This window comes from Homo sapiens, chromosome 2, assembly GCF_000001405.40.
Source record: "Homo sapiens chromosome 2, GRCh38.p14 Primary Assembly".
NCBI classification, from domain to species: domain Eukaryota; kingdom Metazoa; phylum Chordata; class Mammalia; order Primates; family Hominidae; genus Homo; species Homo sapiens.
The window spans coordinates 184,996,554-185,018,426 of NC_000002.12; positions in this window are offsets into that span (position 1 = coordinate 184,996,554).

Genomic DNA, 21,873 nt, shown 5'->3' on the forward strand with positions numbered 1-21,873 from the left:
GTGTTGGCATTCATGCAAACAGAAAGAATTCCCTTGGGCTCTTCCCTCTATTCCCTTACAGCGCAAGAGAATAAAAAATTCCCACTTTTTAATAAATACTTTTATTAGAACCATATGGAAGAGAGATTATATTGTTTTCTTAATTCCAAAGGGCAGAATTAGGGCCAATGTTTATAACTTCCAGCAAAACAATTTTTTTGTTCATTATGAGAAAGAACTTTTTGCAATTATATAACTGAAGATTGTAATTGGTTTTATTTGAAGCATTGAAGTTTCTGTTATTAAGAAAGAGATGGAATGACAGCTCCTTCCTTCATTTCACTTCCTGCTCCCATACACACACACCACTCACAAAGACACACTTCTGGGATGCTGTAGAAGTCGCTCCTGTATTACAGACTAGGCACAATGATTTCTAAACTCCTTCTAAATATATAATCTATTTTACAACTACAGCTATTAGTTAATGGGGGCTTTTGCTATATACTATTTTGATTTAATTATAGAAAAATTTATAATCACTTTATATTACTGGACATGACATGTTTTCACTTCTTTAGCTTTGACAATATATATCTTTATCACCTCTATTTATTAAAAAAAATTGATGATCTCTTTTACAACAACTGTTACTCTATTATATAAGTTAATATTCTGAACACAGCCATACTTCAGAGATATTAGAGTCAGTTCCAGACCACCACGATACACCAAATATCACAATAAAGTGAGGCACAGAAATATTTTGGTTTTCTGATGCATATAAAAGTTATGTTCGTACTATACTGTAGTCTACAGTAGTTATGTTGAAAGACAGTGTTATGTTGAAAAATGTACACATAGTAATTTAAAAATATTTTATTGCTGAAAAATGCCAACAATCATCTCAGCCTTTAGCAAACTGTACATATTTTACTCATGGAGGGTCTTGTCTCAGTGTTGATGGCTGCTGACTGATCTTGCTGGTGGTTACAGAAGGTTGGGTGGCTGTGGTAATTTCTTAACGTAAGACAACTAGAAAATTTTTTACACCAATCGACTCTGCCCATCATGAAAGATTTCTCTGTAGCATGTAATGCTGGTTGATAGCATTTTACTCACAGTAAAAGTTCTTTCAAAATTAGAGTGAATTCTTCCCATTTTTGCTGCTGCTTTAGCAGCTAAGTTTAGGTAACAATCTAAAGTTTTTGTTGTCATTTCAACAATGTTCACAGTTTCTTTACCATCTTAAGAAACTTTTTGTTTGCACATCCAAAGTAAGCAATCCCTCCTGTTCAAGGTTGATCATGAGATTGCAACAATTCAGTCACATATTTAGGCTACACTTCTAAAGTGATATTTTGAAAGGAATTTTTTTTTTCTCTGAGAAGTAGATTTCCACAGTGGTTTTAAAATATTCAGTAAATTATGCTGTAAACAGATGTGCTGTCTTCCAAGCTTTGCTTTTCCATTTATATATCACATGCAGAGTAAACTTAGCAGAATTATTTAGAGGTTTGGAATTTGGGAGACTATTAGTGAGCATTGCATTCAACTTAAAGTCACCAGCTACATTACGCCCTAACAGAAAGTCAACGTGTCCTTTGAAGCTTTGAAGCCAGACATTGGCTTCTCCTCTTTAGCTATAAAAATCCTGGAAGACATCTTTTTCCAATATAAGGCTGTTTCATCGACATTGAAAATCAGTTGTTTTTTGTAGCCACCTTCATCAATGATCTTAGCTAGTTCTTCTAGATAACTTGCTGTAGCTTCTACATCAGCACTTGTTGTTTTATCTTACATTTTATGTTACGGAGATGGCTTCTTTCCTTAAATCTCACAAACCAACCCCTTCTAACTTCAAACTTTCCTTCTGCAGCTTTCTTACATCTCTCAGCCTTCACAGAATTGAAGAGAGTTAGAGCCTTTCTGTGGATTAGGCTTTGGCTTAAGGAAATATTGTGGCTGGTTTGATCTTCTATCCAGAGGATGAATTTTCTTCATATCAGCAATAAGTTTGTTTTATTTTCTTATTCTTGTGTTCCCTGAAGTAGCATTTTAAATTTCCTTCAAGAACTTTTCTTTTGCATTTACAACTTAGCTAACTGGTGTAAGAGCCCTAGCTTCCAGACTATCTTGACTTTCTACATCCCTTCTTCACTAAGCTTAGTCATTTCTGGGTTTTGATTTAAAGTGAGAAATGGGACTCTTCTTTTCACTGGAAGACTTAGAATCCATTGTAGGAGCCAAGTGTGGTGGCTCACACCTGTAATCCCAGCACTTTAGGAGGCCAAGGCAGGAGGGTCACTTAAGGCCAGGAGCTCCAGATCAGCCTGGACAACACAGCGAGACCTTGTCTCTATAAAGGATACAAAATAAGCCAGGCATGGTGGTGTGTGCCTGTAGTCCCAGCTACTTGGGAGGCTTAGGTGAGAGGATCGCTTGAGCCCAGAATGTTGAGGCTATAGTGAGCCATGATCGTGTCACTGCACTCAGCCTGGAGAACTGAGTTAGACCCATTCTGAGAAAAAAAAAAAAAAAAAAGAAAAGAAACCATTGTAGCATTATTAGTTGGTGTGTTTTCAATATTGTTGTGTCTCAGGAAATAGGGAAACCCAAAAAAAGGGAGAGGAGATAAGGGAATGGCTGATTGATGGAGCAGGCAGAAAACACCCAATATTTATGGATTAAGTTCTCCATCTTATTGGGTGTAGTTCATGGCACCCCAAGACAATTCCAATAGTAACATCAAAGATTATTGATCACAGATCACCATAACAGATATAATAATAATAATAGTTTAAAATATCACAAGAATTACCAAAATGTGACACATAGACACAAAATGGGCACATGCTGTTGGAAAAATGGAGACCATAGACTTGCCAGACATAGACTTGCCATAAATCTTCAATTTCTTAAAAATGCACTATTTGTGAAGCACAATGAAGTGAAGCACACTACATTGAGGTATGCCTGTATTAATCCCCAAAAACCAATTCTAAATCATTTTGTTATCAGACACATGGAAGAAAGACTGCCATAATGTTTCTTTTTTATTCCATGTCATTGAACACATCACATTTATCCTCAGTGAGTATTAATGTATTCCTTAGTATGTTTTTATTTCTAGTCTTGAACAATTTCTCATGTAATGTCTTTATTTGTAAGGCTTCCAGATGAATAAGTGAGTGAATGAATTAATAAATGGGCAACATGTCAAATATTAAGAACATAGTCACAAGGCTGACTTCAAATCCCAGATCTGCTACTGTTGATGGCTGTTGTGAAAACTTGGTTCTTGTCTTCTTAGTTTAAAAATTCCAAAGAATTTACACAAGAGACACACAGCATAGGAGATGAAGCATAGAACAATTTATTGCAAAGGAGAAAGAGTACTCTGAATGTTGGTTGCAGAATAGACAGTACACTCTGGGAGATAATTCAGAGTGGGCTACACATGAGGATGAGACAGTATTCACTGTTACTGGGGAAACTTCCCTGATGGGAGTCTTTTGTGATTATTCATGAGGGGATGGGAAGAGGTGTTACCAGTACGCATGCTCTGGGTTGTCATCTGGGTGTACATGTACAGTAACTTTCCATACTATTTCGTTAATGGCATGTCTCATTAGCATCTTGAATCTCCACTCAGGAGTATGTTTTTCATTATCATAATGAGCAAAGTGTCAATCTAAGGACAGGTAAAATTAAAATGCACATGCTCTCTACAAGGGAAGTTCCCTATGGAGATAGCTGTGCCTGAATGAGCTTGACTACAGTGCAAACGCTGGGGCTCATTGTGCCATGGTTGCCACATACCAAGTACATGGTTACTTCCTTGACTACCTATCCTGTTCCACTATTAGCTAGAACATATGCAAATTATTTAAGTTCTCTAATCCTCAGTGTCCTTAACTAAACATAACTAGTCCTTGTGCTTATCTTGTAGAACTGAGGAGTGCCTTAAATAAATATTATTAATACATGGATGAGAACTGAGTAGGATAGGCATGAAGTTTGGGAAATAAAGTTTATTTCACTCTTTCCTGGTCATCCATATAGGTTCATTAAGTCAAGTGCCTACAAAATGCAGGCTTTTACAACAGAGGTTAATATATTAAGAGTGCATAGCATAGAAGACAAAGTAGAGGCAGCAAACATACACTACTTAATCTACATCCCACATCTACAAATTGCAATATCCTTTTGCCCAGATGTCTTGTTTCTGAATATAGATAGTGCTGTATACATTATAGTAGTGCTTCTCTAGAATATGGAATATGTAGGGAACCATAGTCAAGTAGTCAAGTTGGGATGGAAAGCATCACCTCAACAAACAGAATGCTCACCAGATGATGCAATCGTGAATTCATCCAGATATAATGTTTGCTCTCTCTGTTATCATCAGAAGTTGAGACCTGTTCCATACTGCTCTTCATTTCTTCTTACTTGTATTATATATCATCAAGATTGCTTATTAGAAGCAGGGACATGGGCAAGAGGAGTATTGCTTGTTTGTTTGTTTTTATTGCTTTTGTCTTGCATAAAATACAAACTAATTAAATTTAAAAAGAAAACCCCTCCTTTTCACACACCAAGTTTTCAAAACTTCCTTCTTTGAAAACACTGCATTCCAGGTCTCCCTAAAGAGTTTCAAATTCCTTATGATTTATTCTCCTATTAAATATTAATTAGTAATAATGCCTGTAAAATAACCTAACATATAAATAGTCAAAAATAGTAACCTTCCATTATTACAACAAAAATTTCTGCTGTAGAACTTATTACAGCCTATGTTAAATTTACGAATTTCACTATGTACAACAATACCGAAATCTGTTTGTGGGATTCATCCATGGTGATCCAGAGTCCCCACATAATGAGATCCCATAAGCAAATCATGTAGTCAGACACATAGTATGGCATGATGCTCTTTAATTCCTTTGAATTAACAAGGCATCCTACTCTATCCCACACCCATTTGTTCCTCATTTAACATGGAGTTTAACAATGGCCCCAGCTCTTTGACATTTAGTAGCCTTCTGGCTCAAATTTGCTATTTCTACAATTACATAAATACTCTTGTTAGGACTTCCTTTAAAAAATACCTATCTAAGAGTCTTTACTAATGTAACTCTCCCCAAGCACCACAAAGAGCCTGATTTTCCCATATATCTTTACAAACTGCAAATCCCTATATATCTCAACCCCTTACTTCCCTGGTTTCACTTTGACACCTTAGGTCCTAGTTTTTGCTGTATCCTGTAGAATTTTCATAATATAAAGTTCAAGCTCAAACTCGCTGGTGTTTGAGCCTTCAGTTCCATCAGCACAGGTACTTGAACTAAGGACTTTAATGGTCTTTGGATCTCTTCCTCTTAACATCAGGTTACCTCTCCTTCTATGCCTTTGCCACATATTCTTAACTTTACCTCAGGTAGTGTGAAGTACATGCTTGTGTCATGAAATGACTATGTAGAGAGTCATGGTATAACCATATCAATTTCTTCCTGTCCAATATTCTTTTGCTTGGATGGTTGCAGATAAATCATATAGTTCAAGTAATGCATGCCATCAGCTAAAATAATCTCTTATTATACTTTATTGATATATGAATGTTTATTAAACACAAACATTATTACCTGCTAATTTACCACCTGCTGGTTGAAAGATGGCAAAAGTCTTACTGTTTATTTTGTAAGACTTCATTAAGCCATTAACCTTTCACTTCTTTAGGCCACTAGGAAAAATTTCCTTACTTTAATCACTCTTGTACTAACGCTCTAAAAGCGAATATAGTGATTTGTAATATGCCTCATGAAGAGTTTATGGTAAATTATTTCCTAATGCCTATGCTTTGCAAATGTTTACATAAATACGTCCATAAAATATATAAACACTGAATTTTTGCCAAAGGGTTTCTGTCTTTTGAATTGAAAATATATAAGTAAACCCTATACACAGACTGATTTTTGAAATATTTCAAGACCCTATTTTATCTTTGTTTTGCATAAATGCAGAAAGACAAGGAATAAATGAAACAAAAAAGTACTGAGATCTCAATACTCACCTCAATTAAAAAGAAAAAAAAAGAAAACCAAATCTCTTGATTATTGTGGTCATTTTAAAAATAATATCATTTGCAGGGTGTTAAGTGATGTTTCAAAGGTAGTTACCGTGGTGAGCAATTTGCTAATATTATGGTGATATGAACTACATATATACTATTTTGGGAAAATGATCCTATTTTTTAAACTGTTATGATTTTAGAAAATAAAATATAAAAGCTTATAATGATGGTACTGATTTAATTTGAGGAATAATAATCAAGGTCATGAATGATTTCCCTCAGATATTGAAATATTCATGTACTGTTTCATAGCTTGAGAATTAAAGTGATATACAGAATAAAAATTATAAAACCTTAAATTAAATATTATAAGTTATACAAATGGAGAAAGATTAAATGACTTTGGTTTTAAAAACAGCTTAACTATAGCCAGGCATAAAGGCACATGCCTGTAGTCTTAGCTATTCAGAGGGCTGAGATAGTAGGATGACTTGAGGTCAGAAGTTCCAGGCTGCTCTGTGATTACGCCTATGAATAGTCACTGAGCTCTAGCCTGGGCAACATAGTGAAACTTTGAATCAAAAAAGGAAAAAAAAAAAAGCCAGGCATGGTGATATACACTTGTAAACTCATCATTTTGGGAGGCCAAAGCAGAAGGATCACTTGAGGCAAGGAGGTTGAGACCAGACTGGGCAACATGGAGAGAACTCATCCCTATTAAAAATAAGAGAAATTAGCTGGGCAGGGTGGTACACATATATAGGCCCAGCTACTTGGGAGGCTGAGACAGGAGAATTGCTTGAGCCCAGGAGTTCGAGGTTGCAATGAGTTTTGATCACATCCTGTGTTTCAGCCTGGGCAACAGGGCATGACCTTATCTCTAAAAAAATAAAAATAAAAATAAATAAAAAACAAAAACCCAAATTTAACTAAAATTTTATTTACCACTTATTTAAAACATTTCAACTCATTATAAATAAAGAATATATACTTAACGTACCTTCTTCTTATTCTTGCACCAATTATTTATCTTATGACATATTTAAGAAAATAGACATCTCCATTAAGAGCTCTACATTGTTATTATAGAAGCATAATTTTGCAAAGAAGAATGATACATATATGGCCTCAATTAATTCTAATTCAATCTGCCTGAATTTCACACAATTTTTAATTACTTCATTTTTCTAATTGCAAAACAAATCAGGTTTACTACTAAACAAACCAGTGGAATAAAAAAGTATAAAAGATGAAAAAATTATATTCAGTGGTAATTCCACTACTGGGCATTTACAAAGGAAATAAAAATTTATTCTATCAAAGAGATACCTACATTCATATGTATATAACAGCACTACTTGTAATAACAAAGATATGGAATCAAACTAAGTGCCCATCAATAGATGGTTGGATAAGGAAAATATGCTATATATATATATTTTATGTATACAAAATATGTTATATACATAAAATATATATATATACATAAAACATATATATGTTATATATATAAAAAATGTATTATATACGTGTGTGTATATATACGCATATGTATGTAGCTATAGCATGAAATACAATTCAGCCATACAAAAGAACATGTGCACACATATATATGTGTATATATATGTGTATGTGTGTGTATGTGTGTGTATATATATGTATTGTGTATCTATACAATGAAATACTATTCAGCCATAAAAAGGATGAAATCATGTCTTTTGAAGTAACATGAATGGAACTGGAGGCCATTATCTTAAGTGAAAAACTACAGAAACAGAAAGTCAAATACTGCATGTTCTCACTTTTAAGTGGGAGATAGTGTGTACACATGGACCTGGAGAGTGGAATAATAGACAATGGAGACTCAGAAGGGTGGGAAGGTGGGAAGACATGGGGGATGAGGGATGAGAAATTACTTCATGTGTACAATGTATACTATTCTGATGATGGCTACATTAAAACCCAGTCTTCCCCATTATGTAAATGTCTATGTAAAACGCTCTTGTTCTCCCTAAATCTATTTAAAAATAAGAAAAAAAGTCTTTCCTGTCTTTTTTTTCTGACCACTCATATATTTTTCAGGCAAATTATATGGCAGTAAACATAAATGCTCTTTAAAAACATAGACAATATATCATAAACCTTACCACACAAAATTGATGCTAACAAATATATAGTATACTTGTATTTAACAGCTGCTTCACATCCTTCTCTTGGTCCTCAGATTTTTTTTTTTTTTTTTGCATATTTCTATTTTAAATAATACCTCAATGGAAATTCTTTACATACACCTTTGAGCAGTTTTGTATAATTCTTCATTGATTTTCTAAAGATAAATTCCTGGATTTGGAAATGCTGGGTGAAAAAAGATTGTAGACTTCTGAATTCATCCCCAGCACTTAAAGAGGGTAGAAGTCATCACTCCAATTCTTAGAAGAAAAAAAATTTTTTTTGAATGAACTTAAAAACATTTTTTTCTTGGATATCTCTTAGAAATGAGCTTTCAGAGCAAAGCACTGCCGTGAAATCAGGAGATACAGTTAAATTGACAGAATCACAGCTGATTTACCTATAGTCTAAGCCACCAAAACCATAAATTGGCACAAAAATTAAATGCTAGTTGTGAGGAGTTTCTGGGGGTTCATTGTGAACTGGCATGAGTGGGAAACTCCTGGGGCTGCAATCCTCAGTGCAGGAGGATATGGGACACACTTTCATGGTTTTCATGTACAGGGACCACATCTGGTCTCTTGGTGAAAATCTATAAAGGTCTCACGTCTCTGACAGAGTAAGAGAGAAAGTAATTGAAATAGGCCTAGAATGTTCTCCATAAAAAAGGCTTATCCTCTGGGTTGGCAGGGGCGGAACTTACCCAGAGCTTTATTTCACCGAAGGGAAAAACATTTTCCTGACTTCAGCATTTTCCAGTTTTACTAAAGGGAGAGAGAAAGCTACAAAATACTTCTAAGGTCACTGTCCAAGGATACGGTCTCATTTTAAAAATATGCTTTAGTCATGCGATAATAGAAGATTCTCCTCCCCTGCACCCTACCCCTCCCAAAAGTAGGATCCAATATAACAATGAAGTATAAAGTACTTCGAGACTCAGACTCTACCTAAGTAAGAGATCTTCAAGAAGGCCAAAAACAACAGGAGAGACAAAACCAAGGACAAAAGAGAAATTTGAAGTCTCCTGCACCTATAGCTAAAAAAAAAATGAACATTAACTCCTAGTCATATGTATATAAAATCTCATACTCATTCACCTCAATTCCTGTTACCAGTTCAGCATGTTTTGACTTTCAAACAAAACAAAACAAAATGAAAGACATGTTAAAAAGCAAGAAAAAACAATCTGAAAAGACAAAACATATATCAAAACCAGATATAGATGTGACACAGATTTTATAATTTTCAGAAAGGAAATTGAAAATAATTATAATTAATTTGTTAAAAGTTTAAGTTGAAAAGGTAGAAAGCATACAATAACACGTGTAATGTAAGCAGAGAGACTGAAACTCTAAAAATAAATCAAAATCAAACGATAAAAATTAAAAACATTTAACTGAAATAAAAAATGTCTTTGATGGTCTCATTGGTAGACTGGACATAAATGACAGTAGAATTAGTGAAGACAAAGAAATGTCAGTGGGAATTTCTGAAAATAAAATGCAAAGAATGAAACAGAACTATCGGGGGAACCAGCCCCCAATATTTCAACATAGGTTCTTTTCTATTTTCCCTAAGTGTAGGCTGGTCTGAGAAATAAAGAGAAAGAGTACAAAAGAGAGAAATTTTACAGCTGGGCCTCCGGGGGTGACATCATATGTCAGCAGGTTCCGTGATGCCCACCTGAACCGCAAAACCAGCAAGTTTTTATTAGGGATTTCAAAAGGGGAGGGGTGTACAAACAGGGAGTGGGTCGAAGAGATCACATGCTTCAAAGGGCAATAAAAGATCACAAGGGCAGAAGGGCAGAGCAAGCTCACAAGGCCAGGGTGAAATTAGAATTACTAATGAGGTTCCATGTCCCACTGTGCACGCATTGTCATTGATAAACATCTAAACAGGAAACAGGGTTCAAGAGCAGAGAACTGGTCTGACTAGAATTCGCCAGTCTGGAATTTCCTAATCCTAGCAAGCCTGTGGGCACTGCAGGAGACCTGGGCATATTTCATCATTTATCTTCAACTGCTTAAGGCAGACACCCCCAGAGTGGCCGTCCATAGGCCCCTTCTGGGAATGCATTCCCCTCCCAGGGTTATTCCTTACTGGGAAAAGATTTCAGCAATATTTCTCCTACTTGTTTTCTGCAATAAGAAAAATATGACTCTGTTCTGCCTGGCCCCGCAGGCAGTCAGACCTTATGGTTATCTCCCTTGTTCCCTGAACATTGCTGTTATCCTGTTCCTTTTCAGGGTGCACAGATTTCACATTGTTCAAACACACGTTTTACAAACAATTTGTGCAGTTAACACAATCATCACAGGGTCCTGAGGCGACATATATCCTCAGCTTATGAAGATGACAGGATTAAGAGATTAAAGACAGGCATAGGAAATTACAAGAGTATTGATTGGGGAAGTGATAAATGTCCATGAAATCTTCACAATTTATGTTCAGAGATTGCAGTAAAGACAGATGTAAGAAATCATATAAGTATTAATTTGGGGACTAATAAATGTCCATGAAATCTTCACAGTTTCTGTTCTTCTGCCACGGCTTCAGCAGGTCCCTCCGTTCAGGGTCCCTGACTTCCCGCAAGACAGAACAACAAAAATGTATGAAGCAATTTCAAAAAGCATAATGTGTACTAGGAATACAAAAAAGAAAAAAAAACAGAACATAATATAAAAGATATTTGACATAACGAAATGCCAAGAATCTTCTAAAATTAATGACAGACACCAAACCACAGATCCAGGAAGCTCTATTAATATGAACAACAAAGGTAGTATAAGCACCTAAAAATCTACACCTGGACATATCATATGCAAACTGTAGAAAGTCAGAGACAAAAAAGAAAATTTTGGAGGGAGGTAGTAAAAACAAATAAAACGTTTACCTACTGTGGAGGAGCAAGGATAATTACTTTGTATTTTATTGAATAATATTTTCTGAGAACTTTTTCAGTAAGTAATCATTTAAACTACTTATTCAGCCAAGATTTCTTTGATATTTTTGATAGTGGTAACTTTTTAGAATTGTTCTCTGTTGTTTCTTAGTTATCTTTACAAAAGTCTAAAATATTAGAATACTTTTTGATTCCTCACTTTCTCCAACACATTGCATTCAATCGACTGGCAACTCCCAGTGGCTCAAACTTCAGATGATATTCAGAATCTGACTTATTTGGACGATTTCCACTGCTATCAGCCTGCTCAATGCTCCCAAACTCACTCTAGCTCTCAGAGTACTTATCACCCTATAATCATATCATAATGGTGCACAAAGTTTTGATACCAATAGTGGCTGTCAAATTAAAGCTTGCAATTCAGAATACATATGTATTATGATAACATCAGGACATAATATAAGTGTTTTTATTTAAAGCTAATTGAATATATGCAAATATACCCTAAAACTACATAGTTGTATGAGACACACACACACACACACATACACACAGAAACCCATTGGTGAGAACACGTAATTGACACACCCAGACACAGACACAGGCAGGCAGAAGCCTATTGGTGAACATGCCATCATTATTGTTTGTGTGTGTGTGTGTGTGGTACGTGTGAATTGGTCTTCTCTTTCTGTTTTTCATCCTGTGCCACTTTTACCTTTTCCAGAATCTATCGTAAACTTATTCCATTAATTATACAAACAAATAAGTGAATGTGGAATGTTTTGGATAAGTTCACCTGCTACATTCAAAAAGTAATTATGCTCTCCATCAACAACAGGTCAGTTGCATAAAATTTAACAATAAGGGAAAAACTATCATATTAAGATGAATTATCTTTAGTAAACATATTTTCCAAATACTCACTGCACCAAACAGAATGTTTTTGCCTCAACTTTATGAAATTAGGAAGATTTCAAGAGGTTACCCTGTTCCTTATTAAATCTCAGCTTCTTCTGAAGCTGCTCTTCTGACTTCATCCCTCTATTGTTTCTATGCACATTTTTCTGATATTTCAGTTATTTTATGAGTAAAAATGTTCCAATACATGTCATTCTTTCTCTGATGGTAAAATTAATATAATCATCAATCTTCCTAAGAAATTATTATTCCTGTCACTCTACTCAATAATTTCCTATGACTTTAATGTTTGACTGACAGTAGCTACATGGAGACATTATTTGTGTGTCATATGAAACTTTGTCAGAAATTATGAAAATTCTAATGGGAGTAAATTCACCTTATTGGTGTATTTTTAAAACAAACATTTTAATATGTGATGCTCAGGAAAACATATATTTTTATTACTTCATGTCATTTATTAAAATTCATATCAGTGAAGATTAATTTTTTGTTACCAAGTAGAAATTTTTAACTACATTCTTGTTGTCAGTCACTGGTAAGCAAGAATACATATCACATGGTTACCTACATAGGTGGTAACATAGGAAAGTGAAAAAACAGAAATAGAATATTTTCTGGCTGGGCGTGGTGGTTCACTAATGTAATCCCAGCATTTTGGGAGGCTGAGGTGGGTGGATCACCTGAGGTCAGGAGTTTGAGACCAGCCCAGCCAACATGGTGAAACCCCATCTCTACTAAAAATACAAAAAATTAGCCAGGCATGGCGGTGGGCTCCTGTAGTTCCAGCTACTCAGGAGGCTGAGACAAGAGAATTGCTTGAACCTGGGAGGTGGAGGTTGCAGTGAGCGGAGATTGTACCACTGCACTCCAGCTTGGGCAACAAGAGCAAAACTCTGTCTCAAAAAAAAAAAAAAGAATATTTTCTAAAGAATCTTAATTCCTATAATAATCTGTCATTGAAAAGTCTTGGAACTCATATAGGACCTCAGAACTTGCACAATTAAGTCTGTTACCTTATGCAAAAACTATCTTTTATATATTTCTCACAGGCACTTATATATTATCTATTTAAATACCTTCATCAGTGGACTCACTTTATCACAGGACAGCTCAGTCCATGTGCGGACACATTCTAATTTTAAGAAAATATTTCTTTTTTATGAGTTAGCCATAGTTTAATTCTATTTTTTTTTTGTCACTCTCAACATTTTTCTCTCTCCTTCCTTCCTCTTTCCACACCTCCATTTTATTTTCTTTCTTTCTTTTTCTTTCTTCCTTTCTTCCTTTCTCCCCTTCCTGCCTTCCTTCTTCCTTTCCTGCCTTTATTTCTTTTTCTTTGTCTTTTTTCTTTTTCTTCTTTTTTGTTGTCCTCCTTTTTTTCTCTTTCCTTCTCTCCTTTTATTTCCTTAATTCTATCTTCTTTTGACTTTCTTTTGCAAATATATACTAAATACTTCCTAAGTTCTAGGCATCATGATAGATGCTCCAAATACTGTAATTAAAATAGAACATCTCTTTCCAAGAACATTAGCCAAATTAAGGAGATAGACAAGTGATCAATGAAATATAATGCATTTTACAACTGCTATGTAAACACACTGGAAAGACAGTAACTCAGTTGTGGAAAGGGAAATAGGAAAAATAGCAGTTGTGTCTATGCTAAGGGTTGATACTTATTCTGGACATATGTAGAAAAAGATGAAAATTTATTCTAGGAACAGAGCACATCTTGTGGAAAGCCACTAAGGAAAGGGACAAATATAGTTCCTAGATTTGCTTTTAGCAATGGATGTATGGTTCCATATTTCAGTCTTCAATAATCCTATAGGCTAATGGCAAATATATTGAGCTGAACATCATAGAAAGTCCTCTTGGATTGTTTCTCCCTAAAATTTATCATTGCAATCTCTATAATCCCAATTACCAATCAAGTTTCTCAATGTGCTTATACTATAATAGCCAACTTTCTTTCCATTACATTGTGACTTACAATACATTGATCTCCTTATATTTATGCAATCTCCAACTTCCCTCATGCCATCTCGTTTTTTTTTTACCTCAGTATAAACAGTATAGTTAATTAGACTCCCAACTCAAGTATTCCTTTAACTTCCTTGTGTCCATGTATTTCTTTTTTTCTTCCCATGTGTGCTTGACAAAATGACAATTGTGATTATACAACTCTCTGCTTATATGTACATTTGACCTATATAGTTGATCAAATTGGAGAAAACTATGAATCACACTAACTGCTTACACATTAATTCTGTGATTACTAATTTCAGGTGGATCTTTTATGATGGCTCATAATCATACTCAATTATTCTAGTTTGTTCACTTTCTCATTTTCTTAGATAACTACTTCATTTGTTTTCAAAATTTCTTCACATCGCTAGTACCTCTGATCTTATCTTGACTTCTTTCACTTTGAAAATTAAAAAAGAAAATTTGAAAGCTTCCTCTTCTGTCTACAGATCTACCAGCTTATAAGTTCTGCTTTCTCTTCTGTTACTAAGGATTGACTCTCTGTGTTCAAACCTGTTGCCAAGTATTCCCCTTTGTTACTGGATCCCACTCTTTATCACTTACTCAAAGATTTGGACAAAACTATTCTCACCTCTCTCTCTTTTGAATTGACAATCTTTTCCTCCACTTCAGGGCATTCACATCACTATATAGTGAAATCTTGTGCTTAAAAAAAAAGATCCACTTAGCTCCACCTTCCTCTAAAACTATGACTCCATTTCTCAATCCTGTTTCTAGTAAAACTCCTCAAAAAGATTGTCTACATTGACAGTTTTAAATTACTCTTTAATTTATCCCTAAATCCACTCCACACCACACTTACAAGGCTGCTGAAACTGTCGTGTTAATGTCTTCAAAAATCTGTTTTCAAATCCAATAATCAATTATTAGTACTCCAGTTAGTAGACCTCGTAAGAGTATTTGACACAGTTGAACAGTTTCTTTTTCTCTCTCTCTGAAATTTTGTTTATTTCCTTTGCCTCCAGAACAAAGTCATTAAGATTGTTTTTTCTTTCTAATGATTTCTTCATCTTCTTTGTGGGCTCTTCTTTATTTCTCACACCTTTAAGCTCTGCACCATGAAGATAGAAAAAAGGGATAAGATTAAAAATAGAAGTGAGCAGAAAATAGTAAGAAATCCAAATAAATAATTTATCAAGAATCTAAGAAAAACTATTGCTTAAAAGTGTAGGGATAAGAACACTTTCTTCAAAAAATAACTGGTAAAAGAAATAGAAAAGACAAAAAGTGAGAACCTGTAGATTAATACCAACTTAAGAGATAGATCAACAAATTGAAAAGTATGCCCTTTTTGGATTTGACTCTAAAAAATCTTAAACATTTAAGAGATAATTAGAGAATTTTGAAGTTATGTTTATAAAATGAGAGATACAGCCAGGCACGGTGGCTTACACCTGTAATTCCAGCACTTTGGGAGGCTGAGACAGGCAGCTCATGAGGTTAGGTGTTCGAGACCATCCCAGTCAACATAGTGAAACCCCATCTCTACTAAAAATACAAAAAAATTATCCAGGTGTGGTGTCAGGCACTTGTAATCCCAACTACTCGGGAGTCTGAGGCAGGAGAATCACTTGAACCTGGGAGGCAAAGGTTCAGTGAGCCAGCCAGGATCGTGCCACTGCATTCCACCCCGAGCCACAGTGTGAGACTCCATCTCAAAAAAAAAAAAAAAAAAAAAGAAAAGAAAAGAAAAGGAAAGAAAAGAGATGCATTGGAAAATATTTTCTGGTAAAATTATATAATGTCTGCAATTTACTTTAAAATAATTCAATGGAAGAAGATAGCATGTGAGGATATAAATTAAATAAGATTGATCATGAATTGGTAATTGTTGAAGGTTGGTAGTAGGGACATAAATATTTATTGAGACAGCCAAGTGGGAGTGGTTCCCTGGAGAAACTCCAAACATAGCCCCCCAATGAAGTGGAGTCTTGGGAAGTTCATGATGTTTGCAGCAGGAAGGAGCCTGGCACCTCCTCTTCATGTGTGGAAACTGAGATTCAGGCTGCAGGTGGGAAGTGCTCTAGCAGGGGAATCTGGCCTTGCAAGAGTATCTGTTTCTCCATTTTCTTCCTTTTCACCCAATAAAACCCTGCTTAACTCACCCTTTAAACCATCAGTAAGCCTAAATTTTGTGGCCATGGGACGGACAAAAACCCCATCTTCAGCTGAACTAAGGAAAAGTCCTGCAACATTTTTGGCGCCCAACATGGGGCTGGAAAAACAGTGAGTAAAATGGGTACTCAAAACCTCTCACTGCTGCTCCTAAGCATTTTTATTCTCACACTTCTGAGTGTGAGGGAAACATGCCCCTAAACCCCGGGGCTCCTGGGGGTCTGGGAAAAAGCCCTTTCCTTCCTATTTCAGGAAGGACAGGTGAGTGGGGGCTCCTTGTTCCCCCTCCCCTCTGTGTGGGGGCTAGGAGCATGCCCCAAGGGTCCTGGTTTCCAGCTACGCACTGCCACAACAGCCTTCCCCTTCCCCACCCAAGGGGTTCAGCCTCATCAGACAGTAAACTTTTCTCCCTGGTGGAGGAATCACTTGCATAAGAATAACAAGAGGTTCTTCCCTAGGAATTTTTAAATCTTTTTTCTTTCCTCTTCTCCACCCCATCAACAGTTAAGTTTCAGCAAGTTTATTTCTTTCTAGAAGACGTTTTATTTGGCTAGGAATAGTAAGAATTCCTGTTTATATTCTCTGTAAAGATTTAATTGTGGAAAAGGATTTGTGGGACTAGTCTTGGGCTGTGGCCAATCTGGTGTGCTTGGCATGTCTGTATGGTTTGTGCTGCAAGCCTCTATCTTGTTTTACTTCCTGAGGGCATGGCCTTCAACTGCTTGACAATGCTTTGTTTAGTAATCCTGCCTTATGGGATGAGCTCTCTCTCTGGTTCAATATCTGCATGTTTTCCCAGCCCTGTCTCTTAAAGAGCCCCACCCAGCAACTGGGATTTTTTCTGCCTGTATGTGTGTGTACTGTGTTTGATGTCTTTAAAAAGAACTCTAATTAATTTGGTCTAAAGAAAAACAAGCACTTGGATCAAATGTTTTTTAAAGGGAATATAAAAGCTGTAGTACCTTTCAGTTCATGTGAATTTAATCTTTGAGAAATAAAAACAGCCATAAAGATTATTGGTAAAATGCAGGTTAGATGCAAGGTTTGCTAAGTGTTTTAAGGTTACAAACTGCTTTTTGGGTTTTGAGAACTATTTGACTTGCTGGCTTCACAACTGGTAAGGATTGGGAACATATAAAACTAACCAGGCCCTTACCTAAGAAGGCAAACCTTGATGGCAGTTAGCACACAATTAAAGCAACTTACCAAGTTTTACCTTAAAGTTAAAAATTGTTAGGAGTTTCTAGTATAATACGTAATTGAAACTACCAAAAATAGATTTGCATGCAAGGGGTATAAGAACAGTAAAATGTGTTTTCATGCAAAAGGTTATAAGAATGCATAGAAATGTAAACTTTTGCCTAGGGTTAAAGAATTCTTTTGAGTTAAATAAGGAAAGCTGAAGGTTCAAACAAGTGGAGGAAAAGTTGTGGAAATTAATATTGCAGAAGAGGTTCTCTGTATGAGCATATTAACTACAATCAAAATGATTACAAAGGGTTTTTGCTTCTTTAAAATTTCTGAGTCATCATTTTGGGAAAATAAATAGTTTATGGTAATCTGGGACTCTGTTTCATAATATCAAGTGCTTTAAACATATTTAAAAGGCTCCCCAAAATCAAACTTAAGTTTCAAAATTGTCTTTCCTGACAACTGGCTTTTCAGGTGTTTCAGAAGGCCCCTGAAACATCCAGAAAATAAGAGGTAAAGAGGATTATCTGACACATTTAGGTACATGGGATTACCAAAATAATGCTCAATTTTCTTTAGGTTTATCTTGGTGAATAATGCTAATATGTGTTCCAAAATTTTATGGGATTTCTGAAATTCTAATGTCTGATTATATGCTATCAATTATAATTAAGGTCTTTATGTTGTTATTGTAAACCACAGAGATAACCAAACTTCTTTGTCAATCATGTTTCTAAGTGTATCTACCCTGGACATTTTGTTATTCGCAGATAATTGTTGGCTCTTTTTAATCCTTTTCAAAAGATGGTTTATAATAAGTTATAGAACTGTAACAAGTGCTCTCAAATACAAGCTTCTGATAACTTTAGAGATTGTAACATTGAAATAAAAAAAGTATAGGACTCATGAAGAGCTGAAATGTTCATGAATATCAAGCAAAATAAGAATTAACTAAATGGACTGAACTCAGGAAACTGAAGAAAACCTTTTTAACCTTTGCTTGGAATGAAATATTGCTGATCCATGTTTTGTTTCTCAGAGTCAAGGAAACACATTTGAACTATTTATGGCCTTTAATAATGAAGCAAGGTATACACCTGTAATCAAAATTTGGAACATGTTTGTTTCTCTCTGCCAGGTTCTTAAAGAATTTGGAAACTATCTGTGAGTATTCTTATGGCAATATAGTTATTTTTGTACATGTTAGAAATTTTCCATAATAAGATCAAAAATACAAAAGGGATGTTGATGAACATTTAACTGAAATGTACTGTTTTGTCATTTTTATAGCAGATAAGGGAACAGATATGGCTGCATTAAAGTTTATAAGGTGTGAGTGGTAAATTAAAAAAAAGAAAGCAGAGCACAAGACATACATTCACCATGTGAATGAGGTAGTAAGTACAGTCACTAAAGACTGGAACAAAAGAGATCTTAACATGTTGACTTTTGAAATGTAGACTGAATTGTTAATGAATTAAGTGACAAGCAATAGAAACTGGATCTTATGTGAACCAGAAAAATGCTATTCCCTACCCAATTGAAGGGAAAAAAAATGGTAAACAGAGGAGCACTTCGATTTTTTTTTACTCATCTACTTTCCAAAGTTTAGGGATTCTGGAGTAAGAGGAATCTCCCTGACCACCCGCCAAGCATTTTTAGGTTGCAGTTAGGAATGGTAACTATTATATGCATGTCACATTAATAGATATAGGGACAAGAAGAAAGATGCTGGCATGGTAGACTCAGATTTAAAAGGCTTTGGTGCCAAGAGAGTAATTATATACTCATCTACTCTTTCATTCCTGAATATAGAGCCTGGAACCTGAGGAAGAGAACAAAAATGGAAAGCTTTAAATAGACTGTGCCTAATTTTTACGTCTCAAATTGATTCATTAATCACTGGATTGAACTAAATTTAACTTAAAGCAATTAAGTTATCTGCCATTAAGCAGACTGGGTGGGTCAGAAATTAGAAGCCAGTTCTAAAAATAAAGAATAGCCCATTTTCCAAATCTGAATTAGTGATTGACAAGTTTACCTCCTTGAGACAACTGTAGGAACAGCTTTTGAATAGAAAGTAAGAAACAGGATGATATCTGTAAAGTAGGTTTGAGCTAGGGGTTGGATCAAGACAAATATTTTGCTTAAATCAGCAAAGAATTTATCATGTTTAAGAATAGCTGGAGGCCGGGTGCGGTGGCTCATGCTGGTAATCACAGCATTTTAGGAGGCTGAGGTGGGCAGATCCCTTAAGGTCCGGAGTTCAAGACCAGCCCGGCCAAGATGGCAAAACCCCTTCTCTATTAAAAATACAAAAATTAGCCAGGCATCTTGGTGCATGCCTATAATCCCAACTACTCAGGAGACTGATACAGGAGAATCACTTGAACCCTGGAGGTGGAGGTTGCAGTGAGCAAAGATTGTGCCATTGCACTCCAGCCTGGGCAACAGAGTGAGACTTCATCTCAAAAAAAAAAATGTAGCTGGAAAAGATCAAGTTGACAAGAGATCTTAAATATTCTGGAGAAATAAGGGATATTAGTTAATGTAAGGTCTGAGAAGCTATGAAAAAAATTACAGGAAACAGACATGAAGTTATTGCCCTTACAGGAAATGGAAGGGTGGGTTAAATCTAAGCCGTTTTGCAGAGTTGGTGGCCACGTTTGAGAGATTTCACATCTAGGGAAAATATTTGATTTGTGGTGTCCAGGAAATACAGAAGTCATCAAAGTCTATCTTAGGATACTTTAAATATCTTAGTAAAATATCTTAGATATTTTACTAATCTATCCTCTGAGAATATTTGCTGTTAATTCTCATTAGAATAACTTGAAGTCTAAAACAAGGGTTAAGGTATTATGTGTTACTAAAACATTTAAAAATGCATACTGACATCACAGTTTAGAGCAGTCACAATTAATATTTGTGTTTTTTCTATGTGTTTTTAATAGTACAAATAACTATCTTTATCAAAGGATAGCAAACTAGGTGGAGTGGGGCTAAATAAGATAAGGCCACTGATTGTTTCTGTTAATAAAGTTTCATTGAAATACAGCCACACTCGTTTGTTTATGTGTTAGTTTATATGGCAGAAGAACTGAATAGTTCCAAAGATATTGCATGGCCAGCAAAGCATAAAATATTTTCTATCTGGCATGTAAAAAGTTTGCCAACCACTGCTCTACATTCAATTTTTCTTGCTTTTTAATATAGATTTGTATCACTTACATTTTCATAAATATACTTTGACTGTATTAGATTTTATTATATATAGTTTAGATATTTTATGAATTTTAGGGATATAAGTTGTTTTAAATATTTTATAGTTTATCTATTTTTCATGATATTTGGTCTAACTTTTATATTTTCTCAGGAATAGTTCCTGAGAACAATAATCACTAAAACAAAGAGCATAATCATATAAAGTTTCTGGGTACATATTAATAAATTGATTCCTCATATATTGTACAAGTATGTGTATATCCATCAGCAATCATACAAATATTCAAAAGCCATATACATTGTTTTCAGCAATTAGTAATATTATAAATTCTTATAATATTTTAAATTATCTAAACCATATCATGTTTAATAAAATTAAACCTTAAAATTAAATAAAATTATTTTTATTAAGCATGACATGGTTCAAATAATGTAAAAATATCTAAAACAGAACATCATAAAATAAAATATTTATGTAACTTTAATGACTTTTTAAAATGTATTGGGTAACCATGTAGTATTCACTAATATTTTATTTTGGCTCATGCACTTTCCTGGTCTTTGATTATTATTTTATTTGGTTTATATCCTACAAAAATACTCAAAACATATTATGTATAATTTTCAGTTTTTATTTCTTTCCTCTGGAGTCAAAACTTGAATATAAATTTGAAGCAATCTTAATTTTAGAAAAACTTAAATTTTTATAATTTCATTGTACATTTTCCACAATTTTGTTAACCAAACCTTATTTGATGTCCTTAAAATAATGAATCAGAATGTTTTCTTGAGTCTTTCTATAGTATTCAACTCAGTTTCCATAAAAGCAAAACTTTTTAAACCTCAATGATATAAAATGGCTTACATATCATTTAATTACCATGTATAATTGTGTGTATATTTGAGATCAAATCTGACTCCTGAAAAACATACCGTTTAATGAAACATTCTATTGCTTAACCTATTTACCATGATTATTCTGCAGCACTGGGCATCAATAACTACGTTTTACAATTGAAACAGTAGGCTGTACATTGATTACTTTTTTATGTAAGGAAACAAAAAATGTATCACTTATACTAAGCTTCAATCTAATTGTATTGCTTTTATTGCCAAAAATTGTATATTTTGACTATTATTAGCTATTATTTAGTTATTTGTATGTATCTATGTATTCACTGTTCCCACTTTTATTAGGGCCTTAACTTAACATCAATTGTGTAATTTCCTCTATTTAAGCTCCTAGAAT